The sequence below is a fragment of the Homo sapiens genome, chromosome 1 (assembly GCF_000001405.40).
Source record: "Homo sapiens chromosome 1, GRCh38.p14 Primary Assembly".
NCBI classification, from domain to species: domain Eukaryota; kingdom Metazoa; phylum Chordata; class Mammalia; order Primates; family Hominidae; genus Homo; species Homo sapiens.
In genome coordinates this window covers 215,936,963-215,957,325 of record NC_000001.11, presented here as the reverse complement: position 1 = coordinate 215,957,325, position 20,363 = coordinate 215,936,963, and the positions used below count along the sequence as shown (strand labels likewise).

General features: G+C 35.2%; 1 protein-coding gene across 1 annotated transcript in view, besides 1 other annotated feature; it reads left to right on the top strand.

The window, feature by feature from the left end:
• The window catches only part of USH2A (usherin), an 800,558-nt gene that overhangs the window by 466,123 nt on the left and 314,072 nt on the right, over positions 1 to 20,363 (top strand). The gene's annotated exons all lie outside the window — the stretch shown is intronic.
• Positions 12,955 to 13,124: an enhancer, noted in NCBI's record as "experimental_4139 CRE fragment used in MPRA reporter constructs". NCBI's record gives its function as "activates a minimal promoter by MPRAs in K562 erythroleukemia cells, with activity observed for the non-introgressed 1:216117629 variant allele {active_cell/tissue: K562}" and the evidence as "EXISTENCE:reporter gene assay evidence [ECO:0000049][PMID:34662402]".

Genomic DNA, 20,363 nt, shown 5'->3' with positions numbered 1-20,363 from the left:
AGACAACAGCCCCAGACCTCTCTTCCTGACCATTTCAGATGTTGTTTCTAAATCAGCACAAAAGATATTAGGAATAAAAACTGTGGGAGAATGTTCTTATGGTCAAAGCAAGTATTAATATAAAAAACATTGGGAATGTAGGGGAAATAGAGAAAATTACTCTGTTTCTATTTGTTTGGAAGCAAATGTCTCTTATGCAAAAAAGAAAGTATAGTTATTATATCTTTCTGTAAGTTTCCAACACATTTCTGGATGTATAAATACATACAAATCTAAACACTTGGGAAATCAAAAGGCATTTTTTCTGGACTACAAATTATGGCCATATTGTTAATGAAAATATAAACGGGCAATAATAAGATATCTGTCATTTCAAATATTGGGCTATAGAATGTATATGCACTGAATGTATTGACACTTCTGATTGTATATCATGTCATGGCCAATAAAGCTATAGAAATGTTTAATTAGGACATATTCTTCCACAAGAATGGAGTTAAGCATTAATTTATCAAACTTGTTTAAGACCTCATCTGTTCTCAACACTCACACAGCAGCTTATTGAATTTGTCTGATATCTAATTGGCTATTTTCTTGACATAATGAACAAGTGCATACTCTATGCTGTTGTGTCTGTTGAGGCGGCGATGTAATGATGAAATGGAAATTGTAACCATGGGTCGTACACTGATTCAGGATATGCAGCCCACAGAGCCATGAGAGGGCACAGGATTTCATTGTCCTCATGGCTTAACTTTATGTTTCAAACTCTGCAGAGCATCTCTGTGGAGGAATCTCTCCATTCTAACTCCTCATGAAAGGAGCCTGTTAGAAGCAAAATACAATCAGCAGATCACCCAGATGATGTACCTTTGGCTTTGGAAGGCTTTGCATAATTTAAAAAATAAAATAAAATTCTCCTATTTAGAGAAATTTTTAAAGCATTTAAAAATACTCACACCATTTTCAAACCCACACCACAAGTGATTTGGGGGATTTCTAATACATGCATGATAAAGTTCAACTGGATAAGCCAGCCGTGGGGCAGATATATAATGTTTACCTATAGTTGTGTACCACTGATATGCCTGTCTAGTGTTGGTTTTTGCATGCTTTGTTGTGGCAAGAGTTCAGTGCTTGTTGAATAAATAGTAATATTAGAATCAGTGTTTAGATTTTGGTAGACTGAACATATAGCCATTTTACCTAGGAGGTTCTCAGTAGGAAAGTGTCAGCTGTGAATTGATGTTAGAGGGAAACAGAAGAATGGATTACACAGAGAAATAGAAAAAAAATCTAGCCATCTGGGGCCAATGTCCTTCTCTAGCCTCTAAGACACACCCTACAGCAAGGAATTCCCTTCTCTGATTCCTGAACTTCTCCTGTGGGAATCTAGGGATCAACTTCCTTGGATGGTGATGGGTCCTTATCATTATACAGAGTTATGAGGATTACAAACCATATGTTTGGCCCCTTAGAAAGTGATAATAGGTGACTCCTAAATCATAGTTCTATATACCAAGAACAGCCCACATCAAACATATTTCCCAAATTTTTGTGTGAAATTCTTCATAATCAATGTGTTACTTTACTCAATTATTAGTGTTGCAGAATCTAAGGATTCTAGTGGGCTATTTATGAAAAAAAAAGTATATGGCTTTTAGAGAATTTGGATTCTTTATTTATAAATCGGGTTGCAAATAAAATTTATGTTTTTCCTTCTAGCAATATGCCTTTGGGGAGAAGCAAAGGGAGTTTTACACCCAAGAAGCAGAAATCAAAAATCATAGAATTAAATTAAGAAATTTATTTGTTTATTTGGACATTCATTCATTTGTTCATGTAGAAAGCATGTATCTAGCTTGTTTTATGGAACAAGACAGAAACTAAATGATAGCTGCTGGAGTTGAGTAGAGAAATTTTCTCTATCCAGAGTTGAATCATATGTTGTTTTATTGTGCTAAATTTGTTAGACATTTAAATTTATACGAATGATGGTGCCTGTTTCTGGGATATTTATTCCTTCCCATTGTAAACCTATTTCTCCAAATCATCACTATGCTAACTTAATCACTATGCTTTCAACATCTGAAACATTTAGAAAGTACTTAAATATCTGGCAAGCATGGTCTGTGTGCTGAAGGGGCTTGTGGTTTAACAAGGGGAGCTAGAAATTACCCAAGTAATCATATAGAAATATAAAATTACAGACTTTAATAATTATTAAAGTAAAAGTATATATAACTAAGATTTTCATAATAAGAAGCTTAATATAAATTGGAGGGTCAAGAAAGTTTCTTTGAGCTGATGACATTTAGGGTAACTGTAACATGACTAGACACCAACTCAGAAACTAGAAAGAGGATTCCAAAGTGAATGGCATTTGTAAAGGATGTGAGGAAGGTAAAATTGTGGTGGATTTGAGGAAATGAAAGAAGGACATTGTAGCTAGGCTAGGGAGTGAAGAAAAGAATGGCACAGATGAGACTAGAAAGTTAGACAGGAGCTACTTCATGCAGCAGACTGTTTTAAGGACTTTGGCATAAAGTAAAAGTGTAGTTGCAATAATTACAAAAAATTTTCAAATTTTCAATTGTTTTTTTTTATTATTATTATACTTCAAGTTTTAGGGTACATGTGCACAATGTGCAGGTTAGTTACATATGTATACATGTGCCATGTTGGTGTGCTGCACCCATTAGCTCGTCATTTAACACTGGGTATATCTCCTAATGCTATCCCTCCCCCCTCCCCCCACCCCACAACAGGCCCCAGTGTGTGATGTTCCCCTTCCTGTGTCCATGTGTTCTCATTGTTCAATTCCCACCTATGAGTGAGAACATACGGTGTTTGGTTTTTTGTCCTTGCGATAGTTTGCTGAGAATGATGGTTTCCAGCTTCATCTATGTCCCTACAAAGTACATGAACTCATCATTTTTTATGGCTGCATAGTATTCCATGGTGTATTTGTGCCACACTTTCTTAATCCAGTCTATCATTGTTGGACATTTGGGTTGGTTCCAAGTCTTTGCTATTGTGAATAGTGCCACAATAAACATACGTGTGCATGTGTCTTTATAGCAGCATGATTTATAATCCCTTGGGTATATACCCAGTAATGGGATGGCTGGGTCAAATGGTATTTCTAGTTCTAGATCCCTGAGGAATCGCCACACTGATTTCCACAATGGTTGAACTAGTTTACAGTCCCACCAACAGTGTAAAAGTGTTCCTATTTCTCCACATCCTCTCCAGCACCTGTTGTTTCCTGACTTTTTAATGATTGCCATCCTAACTGGTGTCAGATGGTATCTCATTGTGGTTTTGATTTGCATTTCTCTCATGGCCAGTGATGATGAGCATTTTTTCATGTGTCCTTTGGCTGCATAAATGTCTTCTTTTGAGAAGTGTCTGTTCATATCCTTTGCCCACTTTTTGATGGGGTTGTTTGTTTTTTTCTTGTAAATTTGTTGGAGTTCATTGTAGATTCTGGATATTAGCCCTTTGTCAGATGAGTAGATTGCAAAAAATTTCTCCCATTCTGTAGGTTGCCTGTTCACTCTGATGGTAGTTTCTTTTGCTGTGCAGAAGCTCTTTAGTTTAATTAGATCCCATTTGTCAATTATGGCTTTTGTTGCCATTGCTTTTGGTGTTTTAGACATGAAGTCCTTGCCCATGCCTATGTCCTGAATGGTATTGCCTAGGTTTTCTTCTAGGGTTTTTATGGTTTTAGGTCTAACATTTAAGTCTTTAATCCATCTTGAATTGATTTTTGTATAAGGTGTAAGGAAGGGATCCAGTTTCAGCTTCTACATATGGCTAGCCAGTTTTCCCAGCACCATTTATTAAATAGGGAATCCTTTCCCCATTTCTTGTTTTTGTCAGGTTTGCCAAAGATCAGATAGTTGTAGATATGCAGCATTATTTCTGAGGGCTCTGTTCCATTCTATTGGTCTATGTCTGTTTTGGTACCAGTACCATGCTGTTTTGGTTACTGTAGCCTTGTAGTCTAGTTTGAAGTCAGGTAGCGTGATGCCTCCAGCTTTGTTCTTTTGGCTTAGGATTGACTTGGCAATGCGGGCTCTTTTTTTGGTTCCATATGAACTTTAAAGTAGTTTTTTCCAATTCTGTGAAGAAAGTCGTTGGTAGCTTGATGGGGATGGCATTGAATCTATAAATTACCTTGGGCAGTATGGCCATTTTCACAATATTGATTCTTCCTACCCATGAGCATGCAATGTTCTTCCATTTGTTTGTATCCTCTTTTATTTCATTGAGCAGTGGTTTGTAGTTCTCCTTGAAGAGGTCCTTCACGTCCCTTGTAAGTTGGATTCCTAGGTATTTTATTCTCTTTGAAGCAATTGTGAATGGGATTTCACTCATGATTTGGCTCTCTGTTTGTCTGTTATTGGTGTATAAGAATGCTTGTGATTTTTGCAAAGATACTCCTCGAGAAGAGCAACTCCAAGACACATAATTGTCAGATTCACCAAAGTTGAAATGAAGGAAAAAATGTTAAGGGCAGCCATAGAGAAAGGTCGGGTTACCCACAAAGGGAAGCCCATCAGACTAACAGCTGATCTGTCGGCAGAAACTCTGCAAGCCAGAACAGAGTGGGGGCCAATATTCAACATTCTTAAAGAAAAGAATTTTTAACCCAGAATTTCATATCCAGCCAAACTAAGCTTCATAAGTGAAGGAGAAAAAAAATACTTTACAGACAAGCAAATGCTGAGAGATTTTGTCACCACCACACCTGCCCTAAAAGAGCTCCTGAAGGAAGCATTCAACATGGAAAGGAACAACCAGTACCAGCCACTGCAAAACCATGCCAAATTGTAAAGACCATCGAGGCTAGGAAGAAACTGCATCAACTAACGAGCAAAATAACCAGCTAACATCATAATGACAGGATCACATTCACACATAGCAATATTAAGCTTAAATGTAAATGGGCTAAATGCTCCAGTTAAAAGACACAGACTGGCAAATTGGATAAAGATTCAGACCCATCAGTGTCCTGTATTCAGGAAACCCATCTCACGTGCAGAGACACACATAGGCTCAAAATAAAGGGATGGAGGAAGATCTACCAAGCAAATGGAAAACTAAAAAAGTCAGGGGTTGCAATCCTAGTCTCTGATAAAACAGACTTTAAACCAGGCCGGGCGCGGTGGCTCACGCCTGTAATCCCAGCACTTTGGGAGGCCGAGGCGGGTGGATCATGAGGTCAGGAGATCGAGACCATCCTGGCTAACAAGGTGAAACCCCGTCTCTACTAAAAAGACAAAAAATTAGCCGGGCGCGGTGGCGGGCGCCTGTAGTCCCAGCTACTCGGGAGGCTGAGGCAGGAGAATGGCGTGAACCCGGGAAGCGGAGCTTGCAGTGAGCCGAGATTGCGCCACTGCAGTCCGCAGTCCAGCCTGGGCGACAGAGCAAGACTCCGTCTCAAAAAATAAAAAAAATAAAAAATAAAAAAAATAAACCAACAAAGATCAAAAGAGACAAAGAAGGCCATTACAGAATGGTAAATGGATCAATTCAACAAGAAGAGCTAACTATCCTACATATATATGCACCCAATACAGGAGCACCCAGATTAATAAAGCAAGTCCTTAGAGACCTACAAAGAGACTTAGACTCCCACACAATAATAATGGGAGACTTTAACACCCCACTGTCAACATTAGACAGATCAACGAGACAGAAAGTTAACAAGGATATCCAGGAATTGAACTCAGCTCTGCACCAAGCAGACCTAATAGACATCTACAGAACTCTCCACTCCAAATCAACAGAATATACATCCTCTTCAGCACCACACCACACCTATTCCAAAATTGACCACATAGTTGGAAGTAAAGTACTCCTCAGCAAATGTAAAAGAATAGAAATTATAACAAACTGTCTCTCAGACCACAGTGCAATCAAACTAGAACTCAGGATTAAGAAACTCACTCAAAACCGCTCAACTACATGGAAACTGAGCAACCTGCTCCTGAATGACTGCTGGGTACATAACGAAATGAAGGCAGAAATAAAAATGTTCTTTGAAACCAATGAGAACAAAGACACAACATACCAGAATCTCTGGGACACATTCAAAGCAGTGTGTAAAGGGAAATTTATAGCACTAAATGCCCACAAGAGAAAGCAGGAAAGATCTAAAATTGACACCCTAACATCACAATTAAAAGAACTAGAGAAGCAAGAGCAAACACATTCAAAAGCTAGCAGAAGGCAAGAAATAACTAAGATCAGAGTAGAACCGGAAGACATAGAGACACAAAAAACCCTTCAAAAAAATCAATGAATCCAGGAGCTGGTGTCTTGAAAAGATCAACAAAATTGATAGATCACTAGCAAGACTAATAAAGAAGAAAAGAGAGAAGAATCAAATAGACGCAATAAATTTTCAATTGTTACACAGTTGAATATTAGTTACATTTAGTAGCTAAAGGCTTAGATTGGAGTGTCTTTTTTCTTCAGAGACAGTTTTGTTAAAATGGTACCAGTTAGACCAGGTGCAGGGGCTCATGCCTGTACCCAGCAGTTTGGGAGGCTGAGGCGGGTGGATCACAAGGTCAGGAGTTCAAGACCAGCCTGTCCAAGATGGTGAAACCCCATTTCTACTAAAAATACAAAAAAAAATATTAGCCGGACATGGTGGTAGGAGCCTGTAATCCCAGCTACTCGAGAGGCTGAGGCAGAGAATTGATTGAACCCAGGATTTGGAGATTGTAGTGAGCCAAGATCACGCCATTGCACCCCAGCCTGGGTGACAGAGCGAGACTCTGTCTCAGAAAAAAAAAAAAAAAAAAGGTAGCAATTATAAATGTGTTATTGGCTTGCAGTCATTTTTTCTATGGAGATATACATATGTGTATTCATGTGTTTGCATATATAATGTATTGAGATCTTACTACAAACACATATCATATTTTACACATTTAACATTATATCATGAATGTTTCTTGTATTACACACAAAAAACTCATAACAAGTATTTAATATTCAATAGGTACTTAATATACTATAGTATAGATGTGCCAACATGTATTTATCAATTCCTTATTGTTGGATATTTAGGTTTTTTATTCTTACTATTTGAAAGAATATTTATTGTTAACACATACTTCTACATTTTTCCTTAATATGTATAACAACAAAGGAATTGCTAAATTAAAGGTTGAGTATATTTTTGAAGACACTTGATATGCATGGCAAAATGCTTTCAAAAAAATTACATCATTTCACATGGCTTCTAATAGTATACAAATGTGTTCATCTGTCTGTAGTTATATGCATTTGATAGATAAAAATGGTAGGTTGCTCTAATTTGCATTTCTTTTATTCCTATTGAGACCAAACATTTTCCATATGTTCTTTTCCTATTTGTTTGTCTTTCTTTTTTTGTCTGCTCACACACTTTGCCCAGAATATTTTAGAGGTTTTAAAATTTGTTTTGGTATTTATGGAAGCTAAAATAATATAGATAGTAATTCTTAGTCATTACAATTTTAAATATTTTATCTGATTTATCTTTTTGGTCTTTTTATGAGGTTTATGATGTAGTACTTCAGATTTTTGATAATTAAATCTTTGCTAATTTATTTTTATAAAAAATATTTTCTCCGTCTACAGTTGAAACATATGTTGCTTTATTTTGCTAAATTTATCAGACTTAAATTTGTATACATGATGCTGCCTGTTTCTGAGCTATTTATTTCTTCTCCTTTTACCTGTTTCTAATCTGATTGAATTGTGGTGCTTTCAACATCTTAATTATTTAGAAAATACATTTGTATCTTATGGGTAAAGTCATTATTTTCTCCCTTCAGGTTATTATTCATTTCTGTTAAAAGGTCTTAGTTCTTTTCATATGCATATTCTTCCAGTTGAACATTAGATTGAGTTGAAAAAATGACAGCAATATTTTTAATGGAGTCTCCTTCTTATACATTAATTCTTCTGAAACTTACATCTTAAAATATTTCTCATCTAGAAATGTGTTATTTTTCCATTTACTTAAGCAGCTTGTATCTCCATTAAAGTTTTGTTATTTTCCCCATAAGGACCTCACATTTTTTGTTAGGGTTATTCCAGGTATTTTTACTTTTGTGATGGTGTTCATTTATTTTTATTATAATATTTAAAAAATCTCTGGTATTACGTCAGTGTTTTTAAAACATGCCATTTTTATTCAATACTTTAAAAATATTTATAAATCTCTGAGTTGGCAATTTCTCCAGCTCTAGGAAGACAGAAAATACACAGATCTGTACACTCAAAGAACGTGAGTCCAGCCCACTCAGTCATATGAACTTAGCTGGATATAACACGTTAACAGACAGGATAGACATTTTTACCTTGAACAGAAAGAGCTGTAATTCAAGTTCTGTGTCACAGATACAATCCGTACATTATGGTTTCTTTAAATAAGCCATAACCAATTTTTTTTAGTAATTATTTGCTTCCAGTTATTCATGTGAGATTATTAAAATAAGCTTATGAAGTAAATATAAGATGTTTCAAATATTCCTATCCATTGAGAACCCCAGAAATTATCCTTATTGAAATTTTTAGAAAAAAATTAGATAGGTGCACAGGAAAATCCTTATAAAATTATGTCCCTGACAGAGTTTATATGTATAATAAAAATCAAGAGGGTGGGTGTTTCTAAATATTCAACTATATGGATTGAAGGCATTGTGGTAAATCCATTACAAAGATTATACTGTATATTTGTTGATGAGAAAATATATATTCTTACAGCTATAAAACAATGAGCATCATAAAATTCTATGATTGCAATATATGACAGTAGATCATATATGTATAGATGTATGTCCATATATACGTGTGTGTGTGTGTGTGTGTGTATATATATATATATATATCTGAACAAATATGAAGGACACACACCAAAATATACCAAAATATTAATAACAATGATTATCTTCACATTTTAGGTAATTTCAGCTTTTCTCTTTATGGTTGCTGATATAGCCTTAACATTTATAATAAAAAAAAATTCTTTTGTAGTTAGACAAAGAAGAAATATGTGAAGCCAAAATAGGAAAACATGGGGGAAGGAAGGACTTTATATCATGTTTCATCTCATAGCAAAACTATTGGAAGCATTTCAGAAACAAAAGACCTTAAAACTTCAAACTCTAATAAGAAATTGGGAACAAAAATCTTGAGATTGTTATACAAGAGATGTTAAAGACCTTAGGCCTCAGTTTCTTTCAGAAGCCCAGCAATTGCAATTATTATTTATTATCACTTTACTTTTGCTTGAATCTCTTTAGCTAAAGGTGGTTTACTTCCACTTTTCCCTAATAATTTATGTCTTCATGATAATAGATTTTCTTATTATCTTTCTGATTTGTACCTGTTTCCTATTTAATGATTTACTCTGTATGGCATACATGCCAAAGTTATCATGCTAGAAAAATTATTATGCTATAATAATTATGATACCATCAAACTGAATTAAATTATGTTTCATTGTAAATAGTAAAATGTATTAATTTTTTTAAAAGCTTTTTTATGCCAGCGGAGATAAATAAAGTTACCTTTATGTACTTTCATTAAACACAATGACAGTACAAGCCAAACTGATAACAAATCAACGCACTCCTTCTTGTAACACTCCTAAGTTGTTCTGAAATCAGCTTTCTTAGGACTATGAATTCAATGCAATGTATTAAACAGAATCTGTGCCTTCTGTGAATAAAAGTTTCACCTCCATCTCTTGTGAGTATATGTAGGCAGATCTTTGAACAATGAGGTTTTCTTCCATTGATTTAAAATGAAAATGAACCTGGATTTTAAATGTGCATTCTAATTGTCCCTTTAGCACATCAGAACAGCACTGCCTAATAGAAATATAATGTGAGCTACATATATAATTTTGAATTTTCTAAAATGCACATTTTAAAAAAGTAAAATGAAACAGTTAAAACTAATTTAGTAGGGCTTGGTGCGGTGGCTTACACCTGTGATCCCAGCATTTTGGGAGGCTGAGGGTGGCAGACCACCTGAAGTCAGGAGTTTGAGACCAGTCTGGGTGACATGGCGAAACCCTGTCTCTACTAAAAATACAAAAATTAGCCAGGAGTGGTGGTGCATGCCTGTAGTCTCTCAGCTACTCAGGAGGCTGGGGTGGGAGAATCACTTGAACGTGAGAGGCGGAGTTTGCAGTGAGCCAAGATCACACCACTGCACTCCAGTCTGGGCGACAGAGTGACTTAGTCTCAGTTAAAAAAAAAAAAAAAGTAATATACCTTATTTAATACAATCTATCTAAAATATCATTATTTTAACATGTAATTAAAACCTAAAAGTTAATGAGATAATACATTATTTTTTCTACCAAATCTATGTCTGTATTTTACACTTATAGGATATTTCAATTTAGATTTTTTATCAGATATATTCAGTCTGCATTTAGATGTCATAAGTTTTCAGTTGAGAAAGTAGATCCACATACCAAATTGTTTCAAATGTATTTAAAAGTTTTCCAGTAACTGAATCAATGATCAATTTTTAATTTAAATTCATTAAAATCAAATTAGAAATTCAGCTCCTCAGCCATACTACCCACATTTCAAGTGCTCAATAGCCATATGTGGATAGGGGCTATTGTATTGGACAGCAAAGGTTTAGAACACATGTATAAGATGTTAACACAGAGGAAAAGTTAAAAGTTAAATCAATGCCAAACTATTGGGAATGTTTTGTCTACCGGGTTTCAAGAAATAATGACATGACTGATATTTTTCTTATTGAATCAGCTGCTCGGCTGGTTGGCTCAACTAATAGAGTCAAACAGTTGCTGGGTTTTATAAACAAATCATCTCCTTTTTTATTTGGTCCTCCAATTTTCTTAAGGCAAATATTTGTGCCAAATTATGCCAAAGTCTGTCTCTCCTGAATATCCCTGTTATCCTCGAATATTGTTGAGTGTCCCATGAATATAACTGTTAAATGCTGTTTTGAGTTAAAACCAAGAACACCTATATTGAGAAAAAAATTAAATGTAGTTAATGTTGTACCACCATGTTTTGTTCTAGCTTCTCAACTGTCTCATGTAAATAAGCACAATAAACATCTACTGAGTGATTCTGTAATAGTTTGGATCTATAGGTCCATCATTTGTGATGACACATAGAAGTTGGCCCAGGAAAGCTAAAAGTATGTCATATGTCAAATAATGCCTTCCACCAAGTTTAGAGCAGCATTTCTTCCCCAGCATTACAACTTCATGTAATGGCACTTGGCAGTATTGGCATTTCTGATATGACTTCTTTTGGCTAGTTCAGAATTCTTAAAAAATAAATAGTTTTTCACCCTGTGATTGAAAGGGTTAAATAGTACCAATTCATTACACTCACAAAAGGATTTATTTTGTTCTCATAAATCAGTTTTATTCCACATTTTTATTATTCCCTTGGGTGAGCTACTCCAATTGAAATCAATACAAGTGCAAGTGAGACAATCAATCTCGATATTTGATTATGGATTGGAGATTCCCAGGTCCGCTTTTTAGCCAGTTTCTTTCTGATCATCTCCCCCAAAGAACTGAATATTTTTATTGACATCTATGAGTTCTGAACATGTTTAGAAAGAAGATAATAATCTTCATTTGTATACTGACAATGGAAGCCCCACAAATGAACAAGGATTAAAAAATAAAGACTTAAAATATGTAGCTATAACATCATCAGCAAACTTCAAATTTCTCAATATTTTTCTTAAGATGTAGTCATGTTTTAAAATAACTTTATTCTTTCTTTTAAAAAAAGACCTGTTAATACAACTGGTGGCTACAAACCACATTCTTAGGGTGCTATTAGGTAAATGATTATTTTTCATGACAAAGATATTATTTATTTTCACATGCTTGTTTCAGAGCTGAACCATATCAACTGGTCTAGGTTAACAATAAGAAAACAGTTAAGGTGAATAAAATGCCTTTGAAGGTATCCAGCCTAGGTCTTTTCATTTCTATAATTGTCCAGGCTGGAAAGCCACCATCTGGGGGATTTAAAAGAGAAAAACAGCTCAACTTTAAATTAGAGAGCAAAATTGATTAAGTTGTTCCTCAATGAGGCCAACATTTATATATCAAACTCTCTTTGCTTTACAAACAAATTTATATCTTATGATCCTTTACATATCGAATGCTTATTTTGGGACTCATGGTACCATATTATTGTTCTCTTGCCTCTGACTCTAGCCACCTGTTCTAGGTTCTTAAGCAAAATTTTTGAAAAGGCACAATTAAACCTTTCCGTAATTCATTATTTGATACTTAGAATAAGGCAATTATTTGATGCACTTATCTAATCATATTCTTAAAATAAATTTCAAGGTAATATTAACACTGCATTTGTTACTTTCAGCAAACATTTTAGCCTTATTTAGCCATTTACTAATTTTCACTAGAATCCATTGGAAGGGGATGTTTCATGTTTTGGACAAATTACCTACCACTGATTTTTTTTCAGGAAGACATATAACTTTGAATGTTGTAAAAAAGTATTTTAGAAGGAGTTAAAATAGTAAACCCATATTTCTTTCATTTAAGCAACATTAATTACTCTTCAGTTACTCTTATTAAGCCTTTAGAATAGCAGCTGTATAAGCCATATAAGCCAGGCACTTGGATTTCCACTGGCAAACTTCCTAGGCATGTGGAATTAGGGGACTGTCTAGAACTTATTTTTGTCCAGCTTCATTTCCTTTTCAGTAATTTGCATTTATTAATGCTGAATAATGAAAGATAATCAAAACATTAATGAAGGTATGGTGCAGTGATGTAACAAAGGGCTATATCAACAAAATATTCTTTCCACGTGCTTTGTTCCACTCTTTAAAAAAAATATTTACTCAAGAGAATCATTCTAGAAACTGGAAATTGCTCCCTTTATTCAGGAAGGCAGTATATTTTTTAAAAGTTAGCTTCTTTAATTGTTTAATTCAGAGGTTGGCAAATCTTTTCTATAAAGGGATAGAAAGTAAACACTTTAGACTTTGCAGGCAATATAGTCTCTGCCATAATTACTCAATTCTGCAGTTATATCATGAAAATTCCTAGAAAGATAATTACTTTTGTTCTAATAAGCCTTTATTTACAAAAATAGGCAGCTGGCCAAATTTGGCTTGTAGATTGTAGTTTGTGGGACCCTGTTTTATTATAACTCGTTTATACATTAAAATGCAATTTACATACTTTCCTTGGATATTTCAATCTTCTCATGATTCATTTGATTTTGCAAAAATTATGAATGCTAATTTAAAAATCTATGTAATACAGAAAAACAACATCCACTAAAATCCCACTACCCATAAATAACCAATGTTAACAAACAGTAAACATTATTTTAGAGCTGTCTCAATTCATGGGTGATTCTTGGTAGCAAACAACAGAAACAAATTTGGTTAATTCAGGCAGAGATGAATTATATTAAAGGAATTCAACAGTTCAAAAAGTTGTCAGGAAAGCTGGAGAGTCAGACTTGTGGAGAACCACAAATAACATAGCCCAGACCAGCTTATGCCTTCTTAGGACACCCCCACTGGCACCATCACCATTCAGTCGCCTTGGAAAATTATCACTCTACTTCTGGATTCTCAACAATTTTAGAGGCATCTTGAATAATCCTTAGTTGACTGTGAGCCATTGTTTCACTGGATCAAGCTTTGTAGTCCCCAGATGAAAGCAATGCAACTGACTGGCAGTCCCATGGTCTTACCACATGAACTTCAGGTGTCCTTTCATTTACAAAAAAAGAGAAAATTAAGTTATGTTTCTAATCATTTCTTTCTACATACCTATTATCTTCTCCCTGATTGTTAGAGTTTCTTGATCTTTTTACTTATGCATTAATTATGATTCTCTCAAGGCTTTTCATCATACCATTGATTTAGATTTTAGCTCTATTCTGTTCCTGGCTTTTTCTAACTTGTTTATTAAATACTTACTGCATTTTTTAATTTCCAGATTGTTTCTCTGTCTCTGCAATATCATTTTATCATATTATAGGGAATATATATCATTTTTTCCCAAACTACATGGTTATTTTGTCTTTTTATGTTACAATCCTTTCTTTAGCTGTATGTATAATACTCGATATATTATTTTTTTCTTCAACTTCATCTTGCTTATGCCTTGTATGGGCAGCTCTGTCCAGATTTTGCACTGGTTCTGAGCTTGGTCTACTTCCTTTCCTTTCTGGTGCTAGTCAGTCTTCTTTCGACCTAAATTTTGAGCACTAGGTGTTGCTAGAGGGTGCGAAGATGCACTGGGCAGAATTCTGGGGAATCCAGATTTTCTGTCTCCTCTGAGATCCTATTATATAGCTTTTGTGGCAGCACTTGCTGCATTTATTCACATGTATCTCCCACACCTGGGAACACCAGCTTTTTCCCCCAACTCAGCACAGTGCTTGGCAGGATGGCCAGCCCTGATTTCTCTTCCTGTCTCTGCAGACTCTACTCAGTTCATTTCTCTACATATTGGAGAGGATTTTTTTTGGCTTATACTCCTTCCTCTGGGAACAAAGTTAGGAGCTGCGCTATACTAAGAAGGAATTTACCATCTCTTTCTTCTTTTAGGTTTCAAAATTCATGTCGGTCATTTTTTTCCTTTTCCTTTATACATTTGTACCTGGAGAATCTTCAACTAAAATTGTTAATGTTACTGTTTTCATAGTTTGTTTCCATTCTGTCAGGTATTTTGGAAAGACAGTTGTGTGGTACCACTTAATTTAGAAGCTGTGAAAGTTCACAATTTGTCCAAAATCTCTTTCTAGCAAGGTGATTCATATATACAGTTCAGAGACTAACAGGGAGACTGTAAGGTGGCATCTGACTTTCCCCACCTCCTGGTGTTCATGTCCTTGTTTACTCTCCTTCCCTTGGGTGTCTTCAAAACCTGTGACTTGCTGCTCACCAGTAGAACAGAACAAAGGTGATAGCATGCCACCTCCATAAGATTGTAACCTGTCTTGCTAGAAGACTCCCTCTTTTTGATACAGCAAGTGGTCACACTGGGGAGGCCCATATGGGAAGAAATGAGGGTGAACGCCAGGCAACACAAAACTGGTAACTGAGAGCAGCCTTGAGTCAATAGCCAGAAAAAATTGAGACCCTCAGTCTCGACAGCCTACAACAAATTGAAAACTATCAACAACCACCTGAGCTTGCGAGAGATCCTTCCTCATTGGAACCTTCAGATGGGATTTCAGTCCTGGCCAACACCTTGACTGCAGTCTTTTGAGACCCTGAGCACAGGACCCAGTTAGCTGTGCCAGACTCCTGACTCACAGAAACTATGAGATTCTAAATGTATGTTGCTAAGTTCGTGGTGATACCATGACACATCGATAGGTAACTAACACAGGAACACCTTACTGTGTGACTGTAGCAAATGAAACAGGTAGAATTCAACAGCAAAACATGATATCATTCTCATCCAGACCCCCAAGTCGTTGCTCTTCTTTTACAGAGGAACCATCTCAAGTATATATCTTCCAGTAATTAGAAGAAAATGTTAAACATGTCATTAAACAAAGAATGGACCATAGGCTTTGTCTGGGATCAATAATGGTTGTCAAATTACTTGTCTGATCCTAGTAGCACCACAGGCTCAGCAGGTTCAGCATGGTTAGTAAGGCTCTACCAGAACTTTAAAAGGAAACACGTTTTGGTGATAAAATAGTTGTATTCATGTCCAGTGTTTAGTGTGGAAGCCGGAGACCACTTTCTATGAGAGTATATTTGTTCAATAACTTTTAGCTGATTGAGATAACAGCATCAGTTTGTTCAGCTGGAAAAAAGTTTGCCCAAATGGCAAAAAAAATAAGTCAAAGTGGAAAAAAACCCTGACATTTCAGAGCATATATGGTTAGTAAAAATAGACCATACTTCTACAATTTACAATAGTCACAGTACATCTCTGAATTTACTCTCTCTCTCTTTCTGTGTGTTTATATACATATATATAGTGAACTGTACTGAATTTTATATATCGTAGTGAACTTTATATATAAAATGTATAATATACATGCATATATACATATATCTTTCATTTTTATAACTATTTTTAGAGCAGTTTTAGGATTACAGCAATATTAAGCATAAGGTACAGAGATTTTTGTCTATCCTTTATGCATTATAGTTCCTTTCTGATATTCATAAAATGAGATACATTTAGGAAAATCTGACTGTGGTACATAGAGAGAGCTTGATGGGGAAAAATAAAACATGCTTCAACAAACTTTAAAAAATAATTTGCGATATTTAGAACAGTAATTGTGCCTACACGTTAAAAAAGATCTAGAGAACAAAACATAAAGATTCTCGATATCTATAGAGTTGTCATTGCTCTTGTATGGGCACAACCAGGACAAATGTGTCTGAAGCATCTTTTGGTGAGTTGATAAAATAGTGCATGTATTTATTCCCTGCACTACAATTGTCAGGCTAGAGGAATGACCAATTTAAAGAGGAGTCAAAGAAGTACAGCTTTGACTAGATGACAACTAATTAAAATCACTATTACAGTAATTACAGTAATGTAAGAAATATGATGCATTAATCGAGCACCGTCCTCAGAAGGTCTTAGTGGTTCATAGGCTATTTATTTCTCTTTCAAAATATCCTGTGGAGAAGACAGCTTCGTAGGCATATGTCCATAAATATTTTATACATTGTCAAAAACTTAAGGCCAGGAATAGATTTCTTTCACCATATATTAATTACAAAATAAACAAATACTCAGCACCTTTCAGATTCCTACCAACATGAGATCTATCAGAAAAATGGAATCTGGAAGAAACACTTGCTTTTTGGTTAAAATAATTTAAAATAATATTTTTAGAAGGAATAAATAAATGTAACTTAAATATTAATACAGGGTATATAGAGAGACCTGAAATTCTTGGCTCACAGTAAAGGCTGATTTTGCCAGTTTACCTTGATCACAATTCAGTGTCTTCTGATTTTGGTATTGGCAGAATTTCGTGATAGTGAGATGGAACTGAACAACTCTAAAATTGAGACCTTAATACCAGAAAAATATAGTATTTCTTTGTACAGCAAGAAGTGGGAAAAATTAGTTAATACCTTTTCTACCTTAAGGTGTAATTGGATTCAGAAAAAGACTAACTTAAAGCAGGACCAGGCCTGACATATAAAATCCTCACGAGGTAACAAGAATCAGTTTGGTTTGTTCACTGTCATTTCTCATTATAATCTTTGTCATGAGAATGGATTCATGTTGTGCCATTTTCTGTTCCTGTTACAATCTTTGTCACATGAATAAGATATCAGGATGTTAATGCCTGGCATACAGTATTGTGTGTGTTATGATACTGTACAGGACTACGCTGACCTTTGCAATATTATGTATTCTGATTGGTTGTTCATGTCACCTCTTTCCCACAAGTTAATAAGGCTGTAAAAAGGAGAGAACTGAAATGGCCAGCCAGTCAAATTATAGAATATTGAAAAGGTCAGAGCAGTCCAGCACAGAGAAAAAAAAATTATGGAATATATGGTGCATTAAAATTCTTGTGACAATGATTGTAACAAGAATAGGAAAGGATACCCATTTATGTTATTCCAATCTAGAGAACCCCATAGGATGGTATTCTCGAGACAGCAATCATTTACGCATCCCTGAGTCATACATGTGAAAATATCCATTTATGCTGTTTTTTCCTTAAAAATAATTGCATAGATTTTCTACTATTCAACAAAAAAGAGCATTGAAAATAAGATTTTCATCTCAGAAAAGGGGCATTAATATTGTTAACATTTCAGTTAAGACTTTATATTTGAGACTAAAGAAAAGGTTTTTTTATAAGTAAAACCTGTTGTTCATATGAGATTTATTTGGTCTATTTTTTCATGTAACACTTTTCTTTGAAATAAAATAGGAGAGTAGGACTGAATGAATTAACCTTTTTCAAGACCCTTTAGAATGTGGGATAGACCGAAAGAGCAGTTAGGAGTTTATGTAGAAATTCTACATGATCTATGCAAAACTTATTTTATCTTTATGATGTGTGATGTTGGCCAATACACAAAAAATCTTTTCTTCCTCTGCATCTTCAGTGGAAAGATAGTGACAGAGAGAAAGAGGTATAATACTTAAATCAGAAACCCTGATGTTATTGTTCTTAAGTGTGCAATAATTACTTATTTTTCAAATTGTTTTTATGCATATTTTAAATTTTCTTGTAGAACAACTTCATTGGATTTTGTAGCCTATAAGGAGACATCTGTTTTAAACCTTAGCTTTACACTTATTTCACTAATAGAGTAAACATGTTATAGTCCAAAGCTAGTCAAAGCTAGTGATCCCAGCACCCTATGCTCTGATGCTCATCCAGTAGGCCTGGCGTAGAATTCAGATATATGAATGTTTATGAGGTAACCCCAAGTGATTTTGATGTAGGTTGTGCCTGGAATATTGGTATTGGCAACCTCATTTTGCAAAGAGCTAAGTGAGACCCCCAGTTAAAGCCCAATGGCTCAGACCAAGCCACAGAGGGTGGAGGAGGGCAACTCAACTTCAAATCACAGTGCTTGGGTGGGGGCGAAGCAGGCAGTGGGGAGTTGCGGTTCCAGAACTCAGAAGCTTAAAAGGTCTTGCACCATCCACTTATACTCACAAATAGGGTCAGATTGGAGGGCCAACCAGACAGGAATGGTCGCCTGCGATAGGACACACTTATCACTTTCACATTTTCAAGCTTGATTTTTGAGGCTGAACCAACGAGGCTGCATTTTCCAGCCCACTGAAAGCCCAGTTTATGCAGTGAAAAGTGGCAAAGCACAACCATCTCAACAAGAGGAACCTGAGCACAAGCATTTTAAAAATCTACCCCTCCCCGCCCATATTGAGGAGCCCAAATTCCTAAAGTTCAAAGGAAGAAAGGAAAGACAGTGAGAGTGAAATGGAGGAAGAGCTAAAATCTGTGGATCCTGCTTTGGTTTTGAATCTGGAAATTTTTGAGCTTCATTGAGGGCTGAAATCCTGTCAGTTACTCTAGGTCTGTGAATTGAACTGTATGTTTGTAGGGGTGAGAGAACATTAGACTCACTCAGCTGTATAGTTACTGGAGATGTACAAGTTCTTTTTTGAGCTGAGCAAAATGGTTATGTAATTGCATACTTCTCATAATTATTGAGTAATTATATACTTCTTATAATTACTGAGTAATCATTGTTCTATAACTAGAACTTAATGTTACAACTAATTATATAATTACCATGTATTAATGTTGTTATCTAGGAAGCTTAGAATGAAGTGCTACTTATATATCTCCCCCTGCCATGCCATTTTCAAAGCAAGCAGTAGTGTTTGTTTTTTGTTTGTTTTACAGTTCAAAATTTCCTTAAAAAACAAACAAACAAGCAAAATGCAATGGAAAAAACTTCACCAATATTATACTCATACATATTTACTCATTGATTTTGTATTTGTCCCTGGCTGAAAATTTGTAAAATTATATTCTCATGGCTTAATTTTAGAATTTCCATTGTTGCTTTACAAATTTCAATCTTTTATAAGACCTGCACAGTTACGCTACTTGAGAGTCAATTGAATATCTGCTTGAGTCTATAGGACAAGCTGACCTTTTTGAAAGTTTACAATTGAGCATGTAATGACAGCAGAAATACTTCCAAGGAGCTCAATATCATGGGGACAGGAGGAGATCTCCCCATGCTGACCATGTAATTGTTCTTAGGCAATGGTTAGGATGGTCATATTTAATCTTAACCAGGTTTCTTGAGTGCAAGAATTATGTCTTATGTACTTGGGGCATGTTCTCGTCAGTGCCTAGAAAAGCCTTCTCCTTGCATGCAGTTGGAGCTCAATAATCTTCAGTAGAAGCAAGCTGACTAGTTGTAAAGAACCTAGGAAAGCTAAAATGGCATAAATTGGAAATGTCTTTTTAGTGCATAATGAAATTATCAAAGGCTGCTTTGTAGGTTTCATAATGTCTTGCTAATAAGTATTACACATATAGAGGAGTGCATTATCTACTTACATTTTAGGACCTTGAAATCATTCTTTAAGCTATGAATATGTCTTTATCTGCCTTTACTGAAAGTGAATAGAAATTATCATTGTCACGTTTTAGCCCACAAGCACTGTTTATTTCCTTTGAAGTAAACTACTTATTTGGATGTGCCAATTTTGGGTCCAGAGTAATAAATTATATTATGCCATTAGGGCTTTCTTCTGCTCATGAAAAAAACTCCTGAGTATTTTGTAACAGTAGATTTTTCAGTGACTTCCTCCATCCCTAAATGGTTATAAGTATCTTTTTAAATAA